This window comes from Homo sapiens, chromosome 7 (genome assembly GCF_000001405.40).
Source record: "Homo sapiens chromosome 7, GRCh38.p14 Primary Assembly".
In the NCBI taxonomy this organism is placed as follows: Eukaryota; Metazoa; Chordata; class Mammalia; order Primates; family Hominidae; genus Homo; species Homo sapiens.
In genome coordinates, this window is record NC_000007.14 from 94,893,338 (window position 1) to 94,912,452 (window position 19,115).

The following is a 19,115-nucleotide window of genomic DNA, read 5'->3' on the forward strand; positions in this document are numbered from 1 at the left end:
CTTGCATATCAGCAAGGAAAATGCATGAACCCTAATAAAAACAGGCCAAGATTTTTACCTAAGATGTTTAGTATAACCTGAGATCTGGTCCCAAGAGTTAACCACTTGCCTTTAATTGATGAGGCCCACTCTTTTTTTCTTTGAGATGAAGTCTTGCTCTGTTGCCCAGGCTGGAGTGCAGTGGCGCCATCTTGGCTCACTGCAAGCTCTACCTCCCAAGTTCATACCATTCTCCTGCCTCAGCCTCCGGAGTAGCTGGGACGACAGACACCTGCCACCACGCCCGGCTAATTTTTTGTATTTTTAGTAGAGACAGGGTTTCACCGTGTTAAACAGGATGGTCTCAATCTCCTGACCTCGTGATCTGCCCACCTTGGCCTCCCAAAGTGCTGGTATTACAGGCATGAGCCACCACACCCGGCCGAGGCCCACTAATATTTTTTAAAAAGAATCCGACTATTATTGAACTGCCAACACTGTTTAGTTGGCAACAAAAGCAAAAGTTTCCATGACTGAAACACTAGATTGGAAAGTTTTGACAATGGAGAGGAGAAAGTCAGGAACACGAAGCACTGCATTGAGAGATTCTACTAGGGAAAGGAAATGTTTGTGACCAGAAGAAAACAATGTCTCTGGCACCTTGGGAATTGAGGAGCATTAAAAGAACCAGGGAGCTATCTATGTAGATGAACACAAAATACAATTTGCCATCTGGCTGGCTTTTGACTGCTCCTCACCCCTTGCAGGGTCCCCCAGTTATCCCCTATCCCCCACACTTCCCCATTTCTTTCTATGTCCACACCAAAAATCACAGAGTGCCTACATCACTTTGTGACCCTGCCAGTTGCAGATTTTTTTCCCAGAAGGCTTGAACCCAAACCTTGAGTATTCCCAGACACTGATAAAAGTATCTAGGTTTACTAGAAATAAATTGGCAGCAGCCCTAAGCCAAATCTGTTAAGCCTTCATATAAACTCCATACCCTGACCCCCTCACTGTAGACATACCTAGGTGGGATATCCCTTTTCTCTTGCTGTCCAACTCGAGGATTGCTGGAGCCTGCTTGGTAGGTAAGTTTCCCAAATGAATGCTTTGGACTGATCATACTGGCATTTACGGCTTCTTTTTTTTTGAATCCCAACTGGCCCTGTTTGACGATTTGGGACATTCCCCAGTGGGTACTCCCTTGCTTCTGCTTTTAGGACAACTCCAGCCACAGGTTTATCAGGACAAAAAGCACCCCTTCTACTCAGCAACTTCAAACTTTCAGAAGCTATTGCACTTACAAACCCAGAAAACCACAACCAAAATTGTGCACACACATGTGTTTGAATTTGTGTGATTGATCACTTATGTGGGTTTAGTATAACCACTCATGATATACTTTGCTTTATGTAATAAACATAGTCCCAAGGAGATAATGCTAAATTAAGTGTCCCAATGAAATATTTTTATTGTCAATGAACTAAATAATACCTCAATAAACTGTGATTTTTTTATTAAATCATTCCCAGAAAGAATGGTTTAAGAGCCACCAGTATGAGTTGTAAATAATCATTTGAGGCAGATATTTGCTAATATTTGGTAATGATCTTACATGGACGATCAAATGAATATAGCTAGAGATATATTTTGCAACCAGTTTATCTTGGAGGGTTCACTAGAATATATTTCAAAGTCACACATTTTGTGGGAGCTTTTGAGTTATTTTATGTATCATCTTTAAAAATTCCCCAGGCAAAAATAATTATGGCAAAGTTCTGTTGCTCTCCGGAGCAGGACTTGGCAGTCTCCCTCATTCGTTTCTCTAAGTACTAAGAAGACCTAGAATTGCTTGTGGAAGAAAATGTTGGCTTTGCCCACAAATAGGCCCTGGGTCCATCTCTGTTGGAAGTTGTATTAGTCCATTTTCATGCTGCTGATAAAGACAACCCCAAGACTGGGCAAATTACAAAAGAAAGAGATTTAATGGACTTACAGTTCCATGTGGCTGGGGAGCCCTCACAATCACGGCAAAAAGTGAAAGGCACGTCTCACATGGCAGGAGACAAGAGAACAGCTGGGTGCAGTGGCTCATACCTGCAATCACAGCATTTTGGGAGGCCAAGGCAGGCAGATCACTTGAGGTCAGGAATTCGAAACCAGCCTGGCCAACATGGTGAAACCCTGTCTCTACTAAACATACAATAATTAGCTTGGCGTGGTGGTGCATGCCTGTAATCCCAGCTACTCAGGAGGCTGAGGCAGGAGAATCGCTTCAACCTGGGAGGCGGAGGTTGCAGTGGGCTGAGATCATACTATTGCACTCCAGGCTGGAGTACAAGAGCAAAACTCTGTCTCAAAAAAAAAAAAAAAAAGAGCTTGTGCAGGGAGACTCCCATTTTTGCTTTTTTGTTGTTGTTGGTTTTTTGTTTTTGTTTTGTTGTTTTTTTTTTGTTTTTTTTTTTTTTTTTTGAGGTGGAGTCTTGCTCTGTCACCTAGCCTGGAGTGCAGTAGTGCGTTCTTGGCTCACAGCAACCTCCTTCTGCCCCTACATTCAAGCAATTCTCCTGCCTCAGCCTCCCTAGTAACTGGGATTACGGGTGTGGGCTACCATGTCCAGCTAATTTTTGTACTTTTAGTAGAGATAGCGTTTCACCATGTTGGCCAGGCTGGTCTTGAACTCCTGACCTCAAGGGATCTGCCCACCTCGGCCTCCCAAAGTGCTGAGATTACAGGGGAGAGCCACGGTGCCCGGCCAAGACTCCCATTTTTAAGACCATCAGATCTCGTGAGACTCATTCACTATCACAAGAACAGCATGGGAAAAACATGCCCCCATGATTCAATTACCTCCCCCCGGGTCCCTCCCACAACACATGGGAATTCAAGATGAGATTTGGGTGAGAACACAGCCAAATCATTACAGATATGGAGTGGCCTTCTATTAAAACATGTGCCTCCTTGACAGCTTTAATTTTTTTAAGAAGGAATCTTCCAACTTTGACAATTAGTTGATTGTCACAGCACATCTGCCCTTTCTTTTTTTTTGGCAAAACAGAATATATTCATTCCAGATTCCTACCAAAGAGTATGTCCCTAGATTGCTGATTACCCAATTCTTATAAGCCCTATAGGAGAAAAAATACAAATTTCTTGGAGAATTGATAGAAATATTTAAAGTCCATTTCTCCTTTTGCATTAATTATACTTTTTTATTTTTTGTAGTTTTAATGCTTTTACATCTGGGGCCTCGCTGAACCTGGAGGGACCACCCCTCCCAGAGCTAGTCAGTTCCAGGGAGAGCACCCTTCAAATGTAAACCAATTTATCCAGAGCCCATGCCCACTACCACCTCCTTTATGAGGCTCTCAGGGAGCTCTCACACTCTGAGTTACTGTTCCTTTCCATAATCACCCCAGGACCAGGTACCTGAAAACTAGAGACAACCTCTACACCCTAGAGCCTGCCGAAATTATTCAAACTAGTCAAACCTGAATAATAATAAAACCTACATTTTAAAACACCTTGGGAGCAGAACAGAATTTAGCCAGGTCTCAAACTGTTTGAGTCTCTAAGTGACTTAATGCCATTCACCTGTGTTGTAGGATCTTTTTAAAACACAGCTAAGTAATAAAGTGCTCCCCAAATTAGGAGGCAATTGCTATACCTTCTGGGGCATTTGCGAAGCTAGAAATGCAAAAACTAACAAAGTACATTTCTCCTACCAATTCACCTTGATTCCATTGATTCTTCAGGGACTATCATACGTGTAAAATCGGTTCTCTTTGCTATAGGTTTGTCTTGCAGCAATGAAATCACCCTTTTAAAAATTGTGGCCAAAAACACATAACAAAAAATTTATAATCAATCTTTTTAAAGTGTAAAGCACAGTGCTGTTAACTATATGTACATTATTGTGTAATGCAGCTCCAGAACTTTTTCATTTTACAAAACTGAAACTTCACATCCATTGAACAAATTCCCTTCTCACCTCCCCAACCCCAGCCTGTGGCAACCACTGTCCTACTTTCTGTTCTGAGTTTGACTATTTTAGTCAACTATTTGTCTTTTTGTGACTGCCTTATTTCACTTAGCATAATGTCCTTAGAGTACATCATATTGAGGCATATGACATTTCCTCCTTTTATTAAGGCTGAATAATATTCTATTCTACGCATACACCACATTTTCTCTATCCATCCATCTGTTGATGGACATTTAGATTGTTTTTACCTTTTGGCTATTGTGAATAATGCTATAATGAACATGGATGTACAAAAATCTCTTTGAGACTCTGCTTTCAATTCTTGAGGATATGTACCTAGAAGTAAAATTGCTGGATTCTATGGTAATTCTATGTTAATTATTTTTGAGGACCTACCAGACCGGTTTCCATAGCAACAGTACCATTTATATTAATACCAGCAATGCACAGGGATTCCAGTTTCTGCACACCCCTATCATCCTACTGGGTATGAGGTAATTTCTCATTGTGGTTTTGAATTGCATTTCCCTAATGATTAGTAATTCATATGCTTCTGGCCATTTGTATATCTTATTTGGAGAAATGTCTATTCAAGTCCTTTGCCTATGTTTTAATTGTATTGTTTGGGCTTTTGTTGTTCAGTTGTAGTTCTTCATATATTTTGAATATTAACACCTTATCAGATATATACTCTCAAGTATTTTCTCTCATCACATAGTTTGCACTTTTGCTCTGTTAGATTATTTCTTTGCTGTGCAGTTTTAAAGTTTGATATAGTCCAACCTGTCCGTTTTTGCTTTTGTTGCCTGTGCTTTTAGTGTCATGTCCAAGAAATCATTGCCAAATCCAATGTCGAGAAGCTTTCTCCCTGTTTTCTTTTAGGAATTTTATAGTTTCAGATCTGATATTAAGATCTTTAATCCATTTTGAGTTAATTTTTATAGGTGGTATCAGGTAAGGGTCCAACTTCATTCTTTTGCATGTGGTACCCAGTTTTCTCTGCACCATTTATTGAAAAGACTATCATTTCCCCATTGTGTAGCCTTGGTACCTTCATCAAAGATCATTTGACCATATATAAGAAGGTTTATTTTAGGGCTCTCTGTTGGTCTATATGTCTGTATTTTTGCCAGCACCATGTGGTTCTGATTGCTGTAGCTTGATGACATGTTTTGAAATCAGAAAGTGTGAGGCCTCCAGCTTTGTTTTCCTTTCTCAAAATGATGTCATACTTTTAACAAGAAAATTGTCTATGAGACAATGTTCTGTGTCAGCTTCTTATCCATTATTTGGCATGTCAGTGACAACTATCCATTGCATAGTGAAGCTGTGCCATGTTAACAACACACATTGTATAATGAAGCTGTGCAGTGTAACTACATTACAAGCAATAATTCTTATTTGTCTTTGAAATTTTTTGTATAATAAATTGTAAAATATTGTTAAGCTGTTGCTGTGACAATAATGAGATGTGACTAAAATGCAATAAAATAAATACCTAACCAATGCATTGAAATGAGTCTTGTCCCCTTCCAAGAATATGCCTTTTCAAATAATGCCAAAAAAAAAAAATCCTTTGGAACTTCTCTTTTGTTATAAATCAGCCTCTGATTCAGTCATTGCGCTACTTTATAAAAGTGGATTCACTACTTTCATTTCTCATGTCATATTTGACTGCAAATGACTTTAGATTGTTGATATATGTCAAATTCTATCTCAAGGTATGAAGATGTTCATTACTGAGTAGACTTAGGAAATTACATTGAGATGAAACTCGTTTAGATGCAAATTTTTGACATATTTATTTAAAAATCACTCACATTGCCTGACATATACTTATTTATGCGTAGAAAAAATTTTGACTATGAGGCATCTGAGAAAATAAAGAAAACACCAAACAAATAAAACCAGGTATCCACAGAGGTTATCTATCCATGAATACCTCACATATTCCCTTCTAAATTTTTAGATGTGTCAAATCAGCAGTGTTATTTATTTATATATTAATTTATATTCCCTGTATTCCAAAAAGGATTTTAAGCAAGGTATAGTTAACTCATTTCAAATCATGGAGATTCTGTAAATCCCAACAGAGAGTGAAATTATTTATCTAATGCTTTTGTATAGAGATGAAACATATTATTTATTTCCAATTTTGTTTCCCCTCTGTGTGCAAACTCTCACATAACTGTAAGAATCTGAATTATTACACTTAGTTTTAGTTCAGTAACTCTTAAGCTATAATTTGAATAGCCCTGACTCATGTGTCTAGTCCTTTAAGAGAATCATTCAGTGGTAGACAACAGTGTTAATCAATAAACTTGGTTAAGATACGAAAATTTCACCAGAGATAGGCAATTGGTTATGAGGCTGTGGTCTTCAATATTGATTAGCCCAAGTATTTTTTTATGACTTTACTGAGATATAATTCACATTACTGTACAATTGCTCAATTTAAAGTACGCAATTCAGTGTGTTTTAGCGTATTCACAGGGTTGTGCTACCAGCACCATGATCTAATTTGAGAATATTTTTGTATCCCTTAAAAGAAACTCTGTACTCATTTGCTATCCCTTACCAGCCCCAAGCCTCTAGCCCCAGCCTTAAGCAACCACAAACTATTTTCTGTCTCTGTAGATTTACCTATACTAGACATTTTGTGTAAATGGAATCATGCGGTATGTGGCCTTTCGTGATGACTTCTTTCACTCAGCACAATGTTTTCAAGCGTCATCCATGTTTTAGTACATGTCAGTACTTCAATTCTTTTTATTGCCAAATATATTCCATTGTATGGATATGCTATGTTTCATTTATTCATCATTTGATGGACATTTGTGTTGCTTTTCTTTTTTGGCTATTATGAATAATGTTGCTATGAACATTTCTGTGCATAGCCCAAAGATTCTTAGTATAAGTGTTTGAGAATAAAAATAAAAACCTTATAGAAGTCCTGTTGTCTGACATTGTAAGAAGAACATTATGCTTTAATGGAAAACTATACATTGTTTAGATTACACTCTTCCAGGTATTCAATTCTAATCTTTCCTTGTTTTTGAGCTATTTTACAGCTCTCTGAATTATAGAGAGCTGATAACAATGCAAAATAATTCCCACGTATAGACCTGTAAATTCTGTCAGTTGGAGGTTTCCTTGCCTTCCCACCTTCACTGAGGAAGACGCCATTTTTGCTTTCATTTACACCTTCAGTTCAGTATTCCTGACTATAACTGTGTCTTTTTTTTTTTTTTACGACGTCCATTGATCTGGTTGTAATACCTTGCCAGTTTCCTAATTAATGAGTTAAATAAAATTGTTAGCCTGTTTTCATTTTATATATGTATGAGAGTCATGATCTTACCTGTTTTGTTAGAATGATATTTTAGCAACATGCTCAATATTCGACTGACTCCATAATTTCTTTTTCTGCTGGAAATAGAATTTCAGTGACTCTGAGAAATATCCACCAGTTCTAAACATTTCTGAAATCTCAACAGAGGTAGCTAATATACTACAGTACTTACATATTTAAATAAATTCTAACTAAGAGACTAACATTTTTCTGAATAGTCTTGAAGTTAGAGGAAAGTTTTGAACAGTGGAACTCAAGAAGACTTCTCAGTTCTTGGAAATGTGAGTACCACATTTATACATTTTTCTAGCCTACTTGGATCAATGTAGAGAGCTAATCAGGGTAGTAACTATAGAAGCAATGGCTGTCACTATCATCTTAACCAAAAAGCCAGGAGTAGAGCTTTTTAAGCAAAAACATCAGGGAAGATGGGGTTAGAATGGGTTCTAGTATCTCCTGCTCATAGTCCCATAAGCGTCTCCATGTATATGAACACCCTACTACACAGGGTCCACCAAATAGTAATACAAGAGTGAGAACTTTAGGTGTACACTAGACGCTAACAACTTACTAGATTTTAATATCAGTTACATAATCTAGTTAGTGTTCCCTAACATCCATCCTTAGCCCAGCTGCTCAACAGAATCACCTTCAGAGCATTCTGGAGTTTACTAGATCCTACCCAAGAGATTCTTGTTCAGAAAGGCTGGCATGGGACCCAGGGATCTGAATCTGATTAAGCTCTCTAGGTGATTCTGATTATCACCCAAGGTTTTGAGTCAGTGAATATGATACTCATAAAAAGGGAAAACTTTTCCAGTTTTGCAATATAATTTATGTGTTTTCTTACACTGCTTTCCAAGCATCTTTTACAAAGACAAGGGCAACTAAAATTAATCTTTGGTGCCTAGCACTAGGATGAGGATTTAAATCCAGATAATCAAACTTTCTATGAGCAAGGAACATAGTGGGATTTTATTAACTTATTTAATATAAATTATGTAGGCCACAACATTGTTTTTTATTTTAATCTAACCTACATGGCAGTTTCCTTTTTTTTCAAAGTGTAAATCCTGCCAAGAACTATTCAATATCAATTGCATATTTGATTTTTACAAATTTCATAGGTAATCTTACAAGATAGTACTGTCTACTGGAAGCATGTTGTGTTATTTTTATTGATCCCTTGGTCAGTTCTGAATTATATAGTCGTTTTATTTCTTAGACTTTACAACCCAAATATATGGTTAGAATCTTTTAGAGAAGTCATATTCTCCATACTTGGGAACAATTTCATTTAAAGCAAAATAAAATCATTGTAATATGCAATAATCTTGTGATTTGAAAATCCCACAGAAGAGATCAGAACAGTTTTAATGAGGTGATAATGATGTACAAATATTTTGGAAACTGAGCCTTTCTCTAAATATGGATGTTTCTAGGTCAGTAGTCATCCAAGAGTATCTCAGTGTCAATTTTAAGCTTAGTGTTAGATTTTTGGAAAATAAAGCTACATCGCATAATAAACGACTATTTATTTATGCATCTAAATGCTTCACTTGGCCTTGGTCCAACTCTCCTTTGGGTAAGCATGTGGTAGTCTATCATTTGGTATGTTGCTGGCCTTGCTTAATTTTTGAGGCTCTTGAGATGAGTTCAAAAAGCAATAACAAAATATGTACGCTTTGCATAAATTACATTATAGTACACTGCACTCACAGACATGTAATTTATTATAAGAAAATGATTCCAGCTACACAAAATAATGTCAGACTAGATCGTTAGATTCTAGAACAAAGTGTAATTTAAAAAAATCCATAGACTTTGGTTTCTTTCCCTTTAAAGCTACAACAGGCCAACTTTGCATTCCTCATAAAAATGATATCTCGTTTTTCTTTAAAAAAATGATACATTTAAGCTTCTTTTACAATTTTAATTCATATCAATTCCATTTCATTTCACATTAATATGTTTATTTCTATTTTTGGTATCATCAGATATGAATTTCATGTCCTTTGAGGACGCAGCTAGGTATTGCTTTTAACTGTCCACATGCTGTTTCTGTATTCACAAAATAAATATTTAGATTAGCTTTTATGGTTTTTGGTCAAAATTCAATATTGAAAGTAAAAGCATCTTGTCATTTTGCATATACACATATAACCTTGGTGTCCATAGCTTTCCTTTAAAAGTAACTTGGTATAAGGAAACAAACACTTGGCTTGTAGTCCAGAGAATTATCAGAGGCAAAGGCTGAAGACCTCGATGTGCAGTCCGGGTTATCCCACGGAATCTGGATCTAATTGATGCCCAAACTGACATCTTGACCTCTCTGTGAAATATCCATGTTCACCAAATAATTGTTAACCCATCATTGTGTCTGGGATTGCTGTGCTCAGAGAATTCCATGCCAAAGAGCAACTTAAATGTAACAGTGTTTTGTTCAATTAAAAAAAGTAATAACAGGATTCAGATACAAGATTTTCCAGACTGTTTATTTCATCTTGTCTATATATATTTTTAGAAATCTAAAATGTTACAATTTGTTTGAAAATTTTTTCTTCTAATAATGCCAAAAAGCCTTTCTAAAGTATGTGATCCATCCATGCATTTAGAATCTAATAAAAAATACTAGTTAAGTGATTATAACTTCGTAGTATCATTTACTTAAGGAGAGTCTAAGACATGCAACATTTCCAGATGTAATCACGATGTTGAGTACCGTCCAGGGACAAGAATGAGAATGCTACCAGCTCAAGATCTGCCTTCTGATGGATGGGGATAAGCACTTGTTCATTATTGATCCAACTGAGAAATTTAATGGTGTGCAAACAATGTAAGGGATTGTGATACATTTTCAAACTTTATTTGAAACAATGCGTTAAAGTAATGGTAATAAATTACTATGCTGGATGAACATGGATTATGGCTGTTTAAGAACCTATGAAAAATGTACTAGTAACTTCAGAGCAAATTTATCATTGAATTATTTCCAAAAGCTGATGACTGCATACACAAATTAAATATTACGATGTTCTTAAAATGCATTCTGTTATAATGTAAATTTTGTATAAAATGGGACTATTGTGGACCTCACCAAGAAGGTTTATTACTAGAACTAGATTGAAAATGGAAATAAAGTCACAGAAATCTCCTGTTTAATTGTAGACAAACATGGATGCTTATTTATTTACTTTAATAGTTAATTCACCAAGGCTAATGCTATGGAATAGAGCTACTTCAAAATAATATGGAACAGAGCCTACTTCGAAATAATAGATTATGAATAAATTATTCTGAAGTAAGATCAGCAACATGCCAATTTGAGTTCAGGTGCAACTTGTAGGTGGAGGATTTGCAGACAGAAAACCACAACTAGAGTCCTGCTAGAGGGGCTAATCTGTTGAAAGAAAAATGAGCTTCTGTAGAAACAAATAAATGCCTCATACTTGTCTTTAAAAGTGTAACATGCACCACTACAAAACTGAAAACTAATGGTTATAGCAGCTGTTGTTTCAACCTCAGAAGCTGTGACAGCAATGAAAACATTATACCAATGTCTGGTCCAATAAAACTCTTGGTTTCCTGTGTTTTGTGTGGGTGGACAAAGTAATAATAGCAAAGAAAGAGAAGTTGTATCACTTTAGCCTAAACACACTGTGTAAATTTGTTGTTGTTTATTTGTAGAGATAAGATATTAGTAACTTAAAAATGACCTAAAGGAATCCCGAAGAGTTCTACAGTTCATTACTCATGGCAAGTAAAACTAAATACTCAACCTTATGAACTTTTAAAGCTGAAAATCCAAGATACTTGTAGAATGGGAAATGGACAGAGATGATGGTTTAAATTTTCAGTGGCATGTCCAAGCCATGAGTGTAGGTAGAAAGCCATGCTGAATCATTATCAATTTATTGGGGTAGAAATGACACCTTTAATGTTAATTTTATAGCTAACATCACAAAATAAGACTGATCATAGATATCTTTGAATCTGAATGTGAGCCTGAGGACTATTTTAGAGAAGTATATTCTACCTCTATGATGGAGTTTGTGTGAAATATTATAAGACTCAAAAGTAAACTTAAACTTTTATCCTCAAATACAGATATTTATTTTAAAGAGACCTTTAAGAAAATTGAATATCAACATTCAAGACTGAAGTCAACAAAGCATTCTGTGATACTTACAAATGTGAAATAAGTAGTTATAATTAAACTTTTAATTAAAAAGCTGCCTCGTCACTATCAAAACATTATGCATATCGGTAAGAAAACAGTGGTATGAATAACATGTCCTTTTACGCTACAATTATGTGTAAAATTACCTACTGAAATTGCTCTCCCATTACTTTGCCTTCTCCATAAAGAAGTTAAGTCTAGAGACCTTTTAGTTTGTTCTGGTCTTTTCTCTCCCTTCAGGAACTTCCATTAGTACACAACCAGCTAGGTATCTTCCTGTTAGAAATGAAAGTGTGATGGGCAGTCTTTAGTACCAGCTTAGCCAGTTTTCCCTAGTCTTAAAATTTGATTCAGGCTTAGTTTGGGCTTAATTTCACAGCTGCACCCAATGATTCACATACACACATGAATAACTTAATTCTTTGAATAGTTCTTAGAATGTCCATCACGAAAACTTAAAAATACATTGAGAAAACCCCTAAAACAATATAGAATATACTTTGTACTTTTTGTTTATCCTCTAACCTTGTGACCACATGGTTAATACTAATCATGGTATTATTGGTTGCAAAGGAAATGAAAATAACAGCCCACAATATTCTATATAATTTATGAAAGGTTAAGGTATCATATATGAAAACTGAGAACTCCCCCACCCCAAACACATTTTGGATTTTTTGCATGTCAGTAATGAAGTTCACTTTTCACCACCTTTCCAGTTGGAACATATAAAATGTATGACCTCTAATGCCTAATACATTAATGATCTATTGAACTAAGTTAACCCTTATAAAGTTCATAGAAGTGAAAATGTGGTCTAGAACAACACTGTTTGATAGAACTTTCTGTGATGGAAATGTTGCGTATCTACACTGTGCAACAGAGTGGCCACTAGGCACATGTAGCCATCAAGCCTTTCAAATGCGGCTTGTGTGACTAAGGAACTGAATTTTAAATTGTATTTAATTTTAATTAAAGTTAAATAGCCGCATGTATTGGATTAGCAGTCTAATAGACCCTTCAAACATTCAAGTAAGTGTTGGAAATGGAAGGTCCATTATAGGAAATCTAGGAATCTTAAATTCTCACCATCGGGTTTAAAACTCTATCATTCCTTCAGTATGAACTTTTCCAGAAGTTTCAGATTTTCAAAAGATAAAACTCAAACCAACCAAATCCTTTAGGGTGCTTTTCTGTATGAATCATCTTTCTGCAAAGAGGTGTAAGACTGTCTTTATTGCCAACTCTGCCCCCTCTTCTACAGACAGAACTCAGTGATTAGATTCTGCATTTATTTAGGTTATTCGCCTAAAAAACCTGGTTTCCATACTGCAAATAAATGACAGGAACTTTTCCACTAGATTATCCCAGACAGCAGAAATGTTCTTTCCAAAAGTGGAGCCTGGAACCACAGCCCCCTCACATTGCCTGTTACATCTGTTTATGCTTATAGAAGTGACATCCACTTCGTAGACAGAGAATGCCAATTTCTTGGGAAAGGACCCAGAATTTGGTGATGCTTAAAGGAAAAAAAAGCCCTTGCTGCTTAAAATTAAAAAATACATAGAACTGAGTATTGAGTAGTTACAAAATCCTTCTGAAATGAAAAGATTTTGCTCCCAGAGTATATAGAATTTGTGTACGGACTTGCCTGGGTTCATATTCAGCCATAATCATTTACTATTAATAGCCAATAAAGAAGCGGGTAAGTTACAAAACCTAAACCTTAGTTTTTCCATCAGTGAAATGGGGCTAAAAATAGTTATGTTGGGAAAACTTGTGAAAGACTTTGAAATGAGCAAAAGATTACTGTTTGTCCTTTCAATGGAATGCTGGATGTTATCTACAGGACTCCGGAGTGTTGTGAAATTTACAGTCGTCTGCACCTTACTTAGACTGACTTTCACTAGGCTATTTTACTACTCAGTAAGCTGTAGAAACGTTTGGTAATGTAAATGAGTTTTATCTACAGAATGCAAATTTGTTACTTTACAGATACAACTGGTTACCGCCCTGTAAAGCAGATAATAATAAACATTACATTTCAGTGCTCTATAGAATAGTAAGCAGATTTGCCTCTTCTTGCCTCTATGTCTACTCTTCACAGTCTCACGTGAATGGGTTGCAGTATCTTGCTGGGGTTCCCTTCCTAATTAAAAGAGTTATAAAAATTTTGACCAATGTTCATTTTATATTTCTACCATTGTCATGTTTTTACCTTCTTGAAAAATTATTTTTTAAGAGTTCCTGCTCCCTAGGCTTTTTGGAAGGATTGGTTTAAACATCTGTATTGACAGTCATGATCAGTTTTATATCTTGCAGGAAGGTGGTAACACTTCCGGTACTTGGGGGTGTAAGAGGTTGTACTGAGCCTTTAGAAAAGGGCGGGGTTCGGGGGGGAGTGAGCTGAAAAACTCTCCCTAGACAGGAAAGGTAGAAGACCTCCTCATCCCTTTCTCTTTGGCAGTGAGATCTTAAGGTCAAGGTGAGTAGTAGGCCAGGCGCAGTGGCTTAGGTGAAGGCCACACCAGACTTGGGCCTACGTCTTGGCCTTCCAGGTCAGCAGAGTGGCCTGGGACTTGGATGCCTTGGGGTCACGGAGTTAACTGCAGACTCAGACTAAGTGGGGCCCCAGCAGCGGTCAGCCCCAGAACCAAGTTCCGGAGCCAACACCCGAACAGGAAGGGGCCTTGCCCCAGGCCGGAGAGGCCCCTCGCCCACGGCCGAGGGGGTGGGGCGGCCTCGCCTCGGGCCGGTGCTTTTCGCCCTTCCTTGGCCGCCAGAGGCTCCCTCTCTCTCCCTCTCCCGGGATTTTGCTGCCGGGCTCCCTCTCTCTGCGGCCCTAGAGTTAATCCCATCAGCCGAGGTGAGGCACCTGTTACCCCGGCCTTCCTCACCCCCGCGGCCTCTCCTCCATTACACCGCGGCCGCCGAAACGGCCCGGCGTGGCGACCGCACGTGGGCCAAACCCCTTCCCCGGCCGGCACCCCTGGCCCCAGGCCGGCCCGAGCGTGCGGGCGCGTCGCTGCTCGGGCCGCCGCCCGCCCGCAATGGCGTTGGGGAGCGCAGCGCGCCTCCCGGGGCCGCCCGCCGCGGGCAGGGAGCGCCTGGGGGCCGACGCGCGAGTGGAAGCGGCCGCCGCAGCCGCCCTACGCGCTGCGCCGTGAGGAGCGGGTTGCGGTGTACCCAGCGGGCCGGCGCCGAGCCGAGCCGCCGCGTCCACCGTGGGGCGGGGGGCGCCTGCGAGGAGGGGGTGGGAGCCGCGGCGGCCCGACCCTCCCCGCCCGCGGCGCTCCCGCTCGGGTAAGGGGGAGGCTGAGCGCGGGGCGAGGAGTTGGGGAGGGTGGAGAGGAGGAAAAAATCGGCTTGTACAAAGGCTGAGTTGCAGGCTGGGGGTGGGGGTGGGTTGTGGTGGAGGAGCAATAGGTTGAAGATCGGAGGCATTATCAGTGGGATCTATTGTTTCCTGGCACATTGGGAGGAAAAACAAAGGGATTTATTTTCATTACCCTGTAATTTTTTTTCTTTTCTATTTTTTTAAATGTGGCCAGGGAGCTCGTCTCTCTCCGTGTCACAGTGGGATCCGCCTGGCAGCCGCCGGGAGCTGCAGCCAATGTGTTAGGACTTCAGGTGCTTCTTGGCACAAAGCTAGACTGCGACCTCCTACCATAGCGCTTGGCGTCACCTGCTCTCCCGGTCCTGCCCCAGGGCCGAGGGATTGCGTCCCGAACCGGGCTTGGGAATCGGCTGCCTCTCAAGTTGGTGTTATTTATGTTTGTCTTTTGTGAGGGCAGGTTTTGAATCCCCCGGCGGCCCCATCTCCCCCGCCCCCGCCTCCTTGGGTTGGAATTGGCGGGGGAGGGAATGGGGGGTGTGTGTAGGGGAGAGGGGAGGGTGTTTGTGGCTTTAAAAAGAATGGTCAGGGTAAAAGGAGATTGTCGATGCTTTACAAAAAAAGAAAAAAACAGGCACCACACTCCAAAGCCTTTCTTGTTTGTCTGCATGGGCCATGCATGCGTGCTGGGCCAGGAGCCGAGTTTGGAGACGGTTTAAGTGAAAGTGTGTGCCTCCTCAGCTGATTGTGCGTGAGGGTGATGTGGCTCGGTCTAATATCAAAACAAAACAAAAATAAAATGAAAAATCTTTAGAACTGCCTGCATTGTCTGCTCCTCAGCATATCTTGAAGTATTTGATTGCTGGCTTATTGATATAAAATCCTGCTGTGGGCTTAAAGAGACCAGCAAGCATGCATTGCGTTGCGTGTTGAACTGTAGTAAGTTAGAGGCAAGAAAGAATAAACAAATCAGGGCTGTGAAAAGGGGTGTCACAGTATATTTGCTTTCTGATTGTCACATTCTTACGCATTTATTCCCTTGGTAGTCTGCATCCCACTCCATAATTAATAATAACCACTGTTAGGAAACTTCCAAATACTTGTTATAACTGAACTTAGTGAAACTTATTGCTATTCAGGAACTTTTTTTCTCCTTGTTTTGATCTGAAATTGCATTAGTATTGCTTTGGGGATGCTGTAGATGAGAACATTGGACCAAAAAAAGTAAAATATGCCGCTGTAGGCATGTTTTGGAGTTTGTAAACATAGATTCCAAACTTAATTGTACTTAGAAAGAATAAGTTCTACCTAATTGTGGAGAATCCTAAATGAAGTTGATTTTCTGGACAGTTTGATGATTTCTTAAAGATCGATGAACTGCTGGTTTCTTTTTAAAGGGCATTCACAAAAGCGACCAAAACTTGGGCTAAAGTATTGCTTTCAAATATACTTATGTGTAGCTTGTATTTGTGAGTGTGTGTATGTGTTTGTGTGTGTGTGAGATTTTGATAGGTATCTCCAAATTGTGTTTGGAACTTTTTTTTTTTTTTTTTTACCAAAGACCAATCAGAATGATAACTTTTTGACTTTTAACTTCCCATTTCAATGAGTAATCTCTTCTGTTTGCCACGTGGCTAAGCCATTTGGAAAAAAAAATGTATGTTATTTGACTAGACATAAATTCAAATAAGTAAATGAATTCAGAAATTCATTCTTTTCTATTGCAGATGAACCTCTAGTCTTGCTTTGAAAAAATCATTCTGTGTAACTCTTGACTGTGACTAAGTTCCTAATACACCTGTTGGGACGATCACTGACACCGTATACCATTTGAGAGGTACTTTTCTTGACCCAATACTGGTGATTAGAGAAGAGAGGTATCTTGGTTTTTGGTTTTTTTCTTTGATCATTATGAACATTGGCTTTTCACCCCTGAAGTGAAAATGTTGAAAACTGAGTCTTCAGGTGAACGAACCACTCTCAGAAGTGCCTCTCCTCACAGGAATGCATATCGAACTGAGTTTCAGGCACTGAAAAGTACCTTTGACAAACCCAAGTCAGATGGGGAACAAAAAACAAAAGAAGGTGAGGGCTCCCAGCAGAGCAGGGGGAGGAAATATGGCTCCAATGTCAACAGAATTAAAAACCTATTTATGCAGATGGGTATGGAACCCAACGAGAATGCTGCAGTCATTGCCAAAACAAGGGGGAAAGGTGGACATTCATCTCCTCAGAGAAGAATGAAGCCCAAAGAATTTCTGGAAAAAACAGATGGCTCAGTTGTTAAGTTGGAGTCTTCTGTTTCTGAACGAATTAGTAGATTTGACACTATGTACGATGGCCCTTCATATTCCAAGTTCACTGAGACTCGAAAGATGTTTGAGAGAAGTGTGCATGAATCAGGACAGAACAACCGCTATTCCCCAAAGAAAGAGAAAGCTGGAGGGAGTGAACCTCAGGATGAATGGGGAGGTTCCAAGTCCAACAGAGGCAGTACTGATTCCTTGGACAGCCTTAGCTCCCGAACTGAGGCTGTCTCCCCAACTGTGAGTCAACTGAGTGCAGTATTTGAGAACACTGATTCTCCCAGTGCCATCATTTCTGAGAAGGCTGAAAACAATGAATACTCAGTGACTGGGCATTATCCCTTGAATTTACCATCTGTTACTGTTACAAATCTTGACACATTTGGTCACCTGAAGGATTCTAATTCCTGGCCTCCTTCAAACAAGCGAGGTGTTGATACAGAGGATGCTCACAAGAGTAATGCAACTCCAGTACCAGAAGTGGCTTCTAAAAGTACCTCTCTAGCTTCGATACCTGGTGAAGAGATCCAGCAGAGCAAGGAACCCGAGGACTCCACATCTAATCAACAGACTCCCGACAGCATTGACAAAGATGGTCCTGAAGAACCTTGTGCTGAAAGTAAGGCAATGCCAAAGTCCGAAATCCCTTCACCACAAAGCCAACTGTTAGAAGATGCTGAAGCTAATTTGGTTGGAAGGGAGGCAGCAAAGCAACAGAGGAAAGAACTTGCAGGTGGTGATTTCACCTCTCCTGATGCTTCTGCATCCAGTTGTGGAAAAGAAGTACCTGAAGATTCAAATAATTTTGATGGTTCCCATGTGTACATGCACAGTGACTATAATGTGTATAGGGTGAGATCCAGGTATAATTCAGACTGGGGAGAGACAGGCACTGAGCAGGATGAGGAGGAAGATAGTGATGAGAACAGTTACTATCAGCCTGATATGGAGTACTCGGAAATTGTTGGATTGCCAGAAGAAGAAGAAATCCCAGCAAATAGGAAAATTAAGTTTAGTAGTGCTCCTATTAAGGTAAGTGTGTTTTCTCCATTTTGTTTTCTAAATTTGTTTTTAGTACTAGGGCCTAATTGTATGTAGAATAGACTTGACAACTAGTAGGAGTTTTTGTAAGGGATTCAAGATTGTTGATACCTTTAAAATCACCTGTTGTCAGGTGATTTTAAAAGTTCAGAGTTTGAGAGATATCAATTACATTTCTTAAATGTGCTTTATAATGGCATACATCAATAGTGAGTAATATTAAAGCTGAAGAAGTTCGGGAATTGTGAGATACGTTCCAATGAACTGGAGTATGAGTATTGTGAGTACTGAAAACCAGGAGTGTTAGTTTGAAATGTAATTACTTTAGTTTTACCTAAAATTATTCATAAATAATATTTTCTGAATGTACACACTTTAAGGTATGAAGTATAATGTACAATGGGAGAGTTTTGGTAATCTGGGAATAATATTCGATTTACTTTCTTAAAAAAATCTGAGTTATTAAGTGTAAGTGGATTGTGAGGAATTTTGTTGGAACTTTTTTTGGGGGGTACTGCTAGTTGGTGGTGAAAATTTAATTTATGGAAATATATTAGCTGACTTAAATACTTTGAAAAGCTTTGACTGTAAACAGTCTGAGTTCAAAATTTGTTACATAGCTTTAAAATGAATTTTTTGAAAGAAATAACATTGATTTGCCATTCATGGATTTATTTTTACCTCTTAAAAACTGGATAAATGCCAATGGAATTCACATGCTCTAATGACTTCACTTAGTTAACATTTGGTATGGAAGAATAGCACAAAGTACATCAGCAGTGGGTGGTAGAATGTTATTAGTGGATAATGGCAATAGGGGCAGGAGGTGGTTGGTTGAGTACCAGAATCTCCTGGGGTGCTTTTTCAAAGTGTACTTGCCCACAGCTCAGTCCTGAGATGCTGGCATGCTCTCCTTGGGGAATCTGGAAGGTTAT

At 39.0% G+C, this 19,115-nt stretch overlaps 1 protein-coding gene across 43 annotated transcripts in view, besides 1 other annotated feature; it reads left to right on the forward strand.

Annotated features, from left to right (window-relative positions):
• The window catches only part of PPP1R9A (protein phosphatase 1 regulatory subunit 9A), a 389,180-nt gene continuing 383,963 nt past the window's right edge, over window positions 13,899–19,115 (forward strand). For 23 of the 43 annotated variants that reach the window (XM_047420573.1, XM_011516381.2, XM_017012395.2 and 20 more), the window contains exons 1-2: window positions 14,257–14,365; window positions 16,561–18,171. In XM_047420573.1, coding sequence (XP_047276529.1) covers window positions 16,777–18,171 — 1,395 coding nt within the window. In that variant the 5' untranslated portion in view covers window positions 14,257–14,365; window positions 16,561–16,776. Of the gene's footprint in view, window positions 13,985–14,256; window positions 14,366–14,615; window positions 14,803–14,907; window positions 15,258–16,560; window positions 18,172–19,115 lie in introns of those variants that run through there. The other 20 variants (XM_047420584.1, XM_017012396.2, XM_047420588.1 and 17 more) reach the window with 4 other exon arrangements.
• Window positions 14,314–15,074: an enhancer, noted in NCBI's record as "NANOG-H3K27ac-H3K4me1 hESC enhancer chr7:94536963-94537723 (GRCh37/hg19 assembly coordinates)". NCBI's record gives its function as "activates a minimal SCP1, AML or CMV promoter by ChIP-STARR-seq in naive H9 embryonic stem cells {active_cell/tissue: H9 hESC(naive)}" and the evidence as "EXISTENCE:reporter gene assay evidence [ECO:0000049][PMID:30033119]".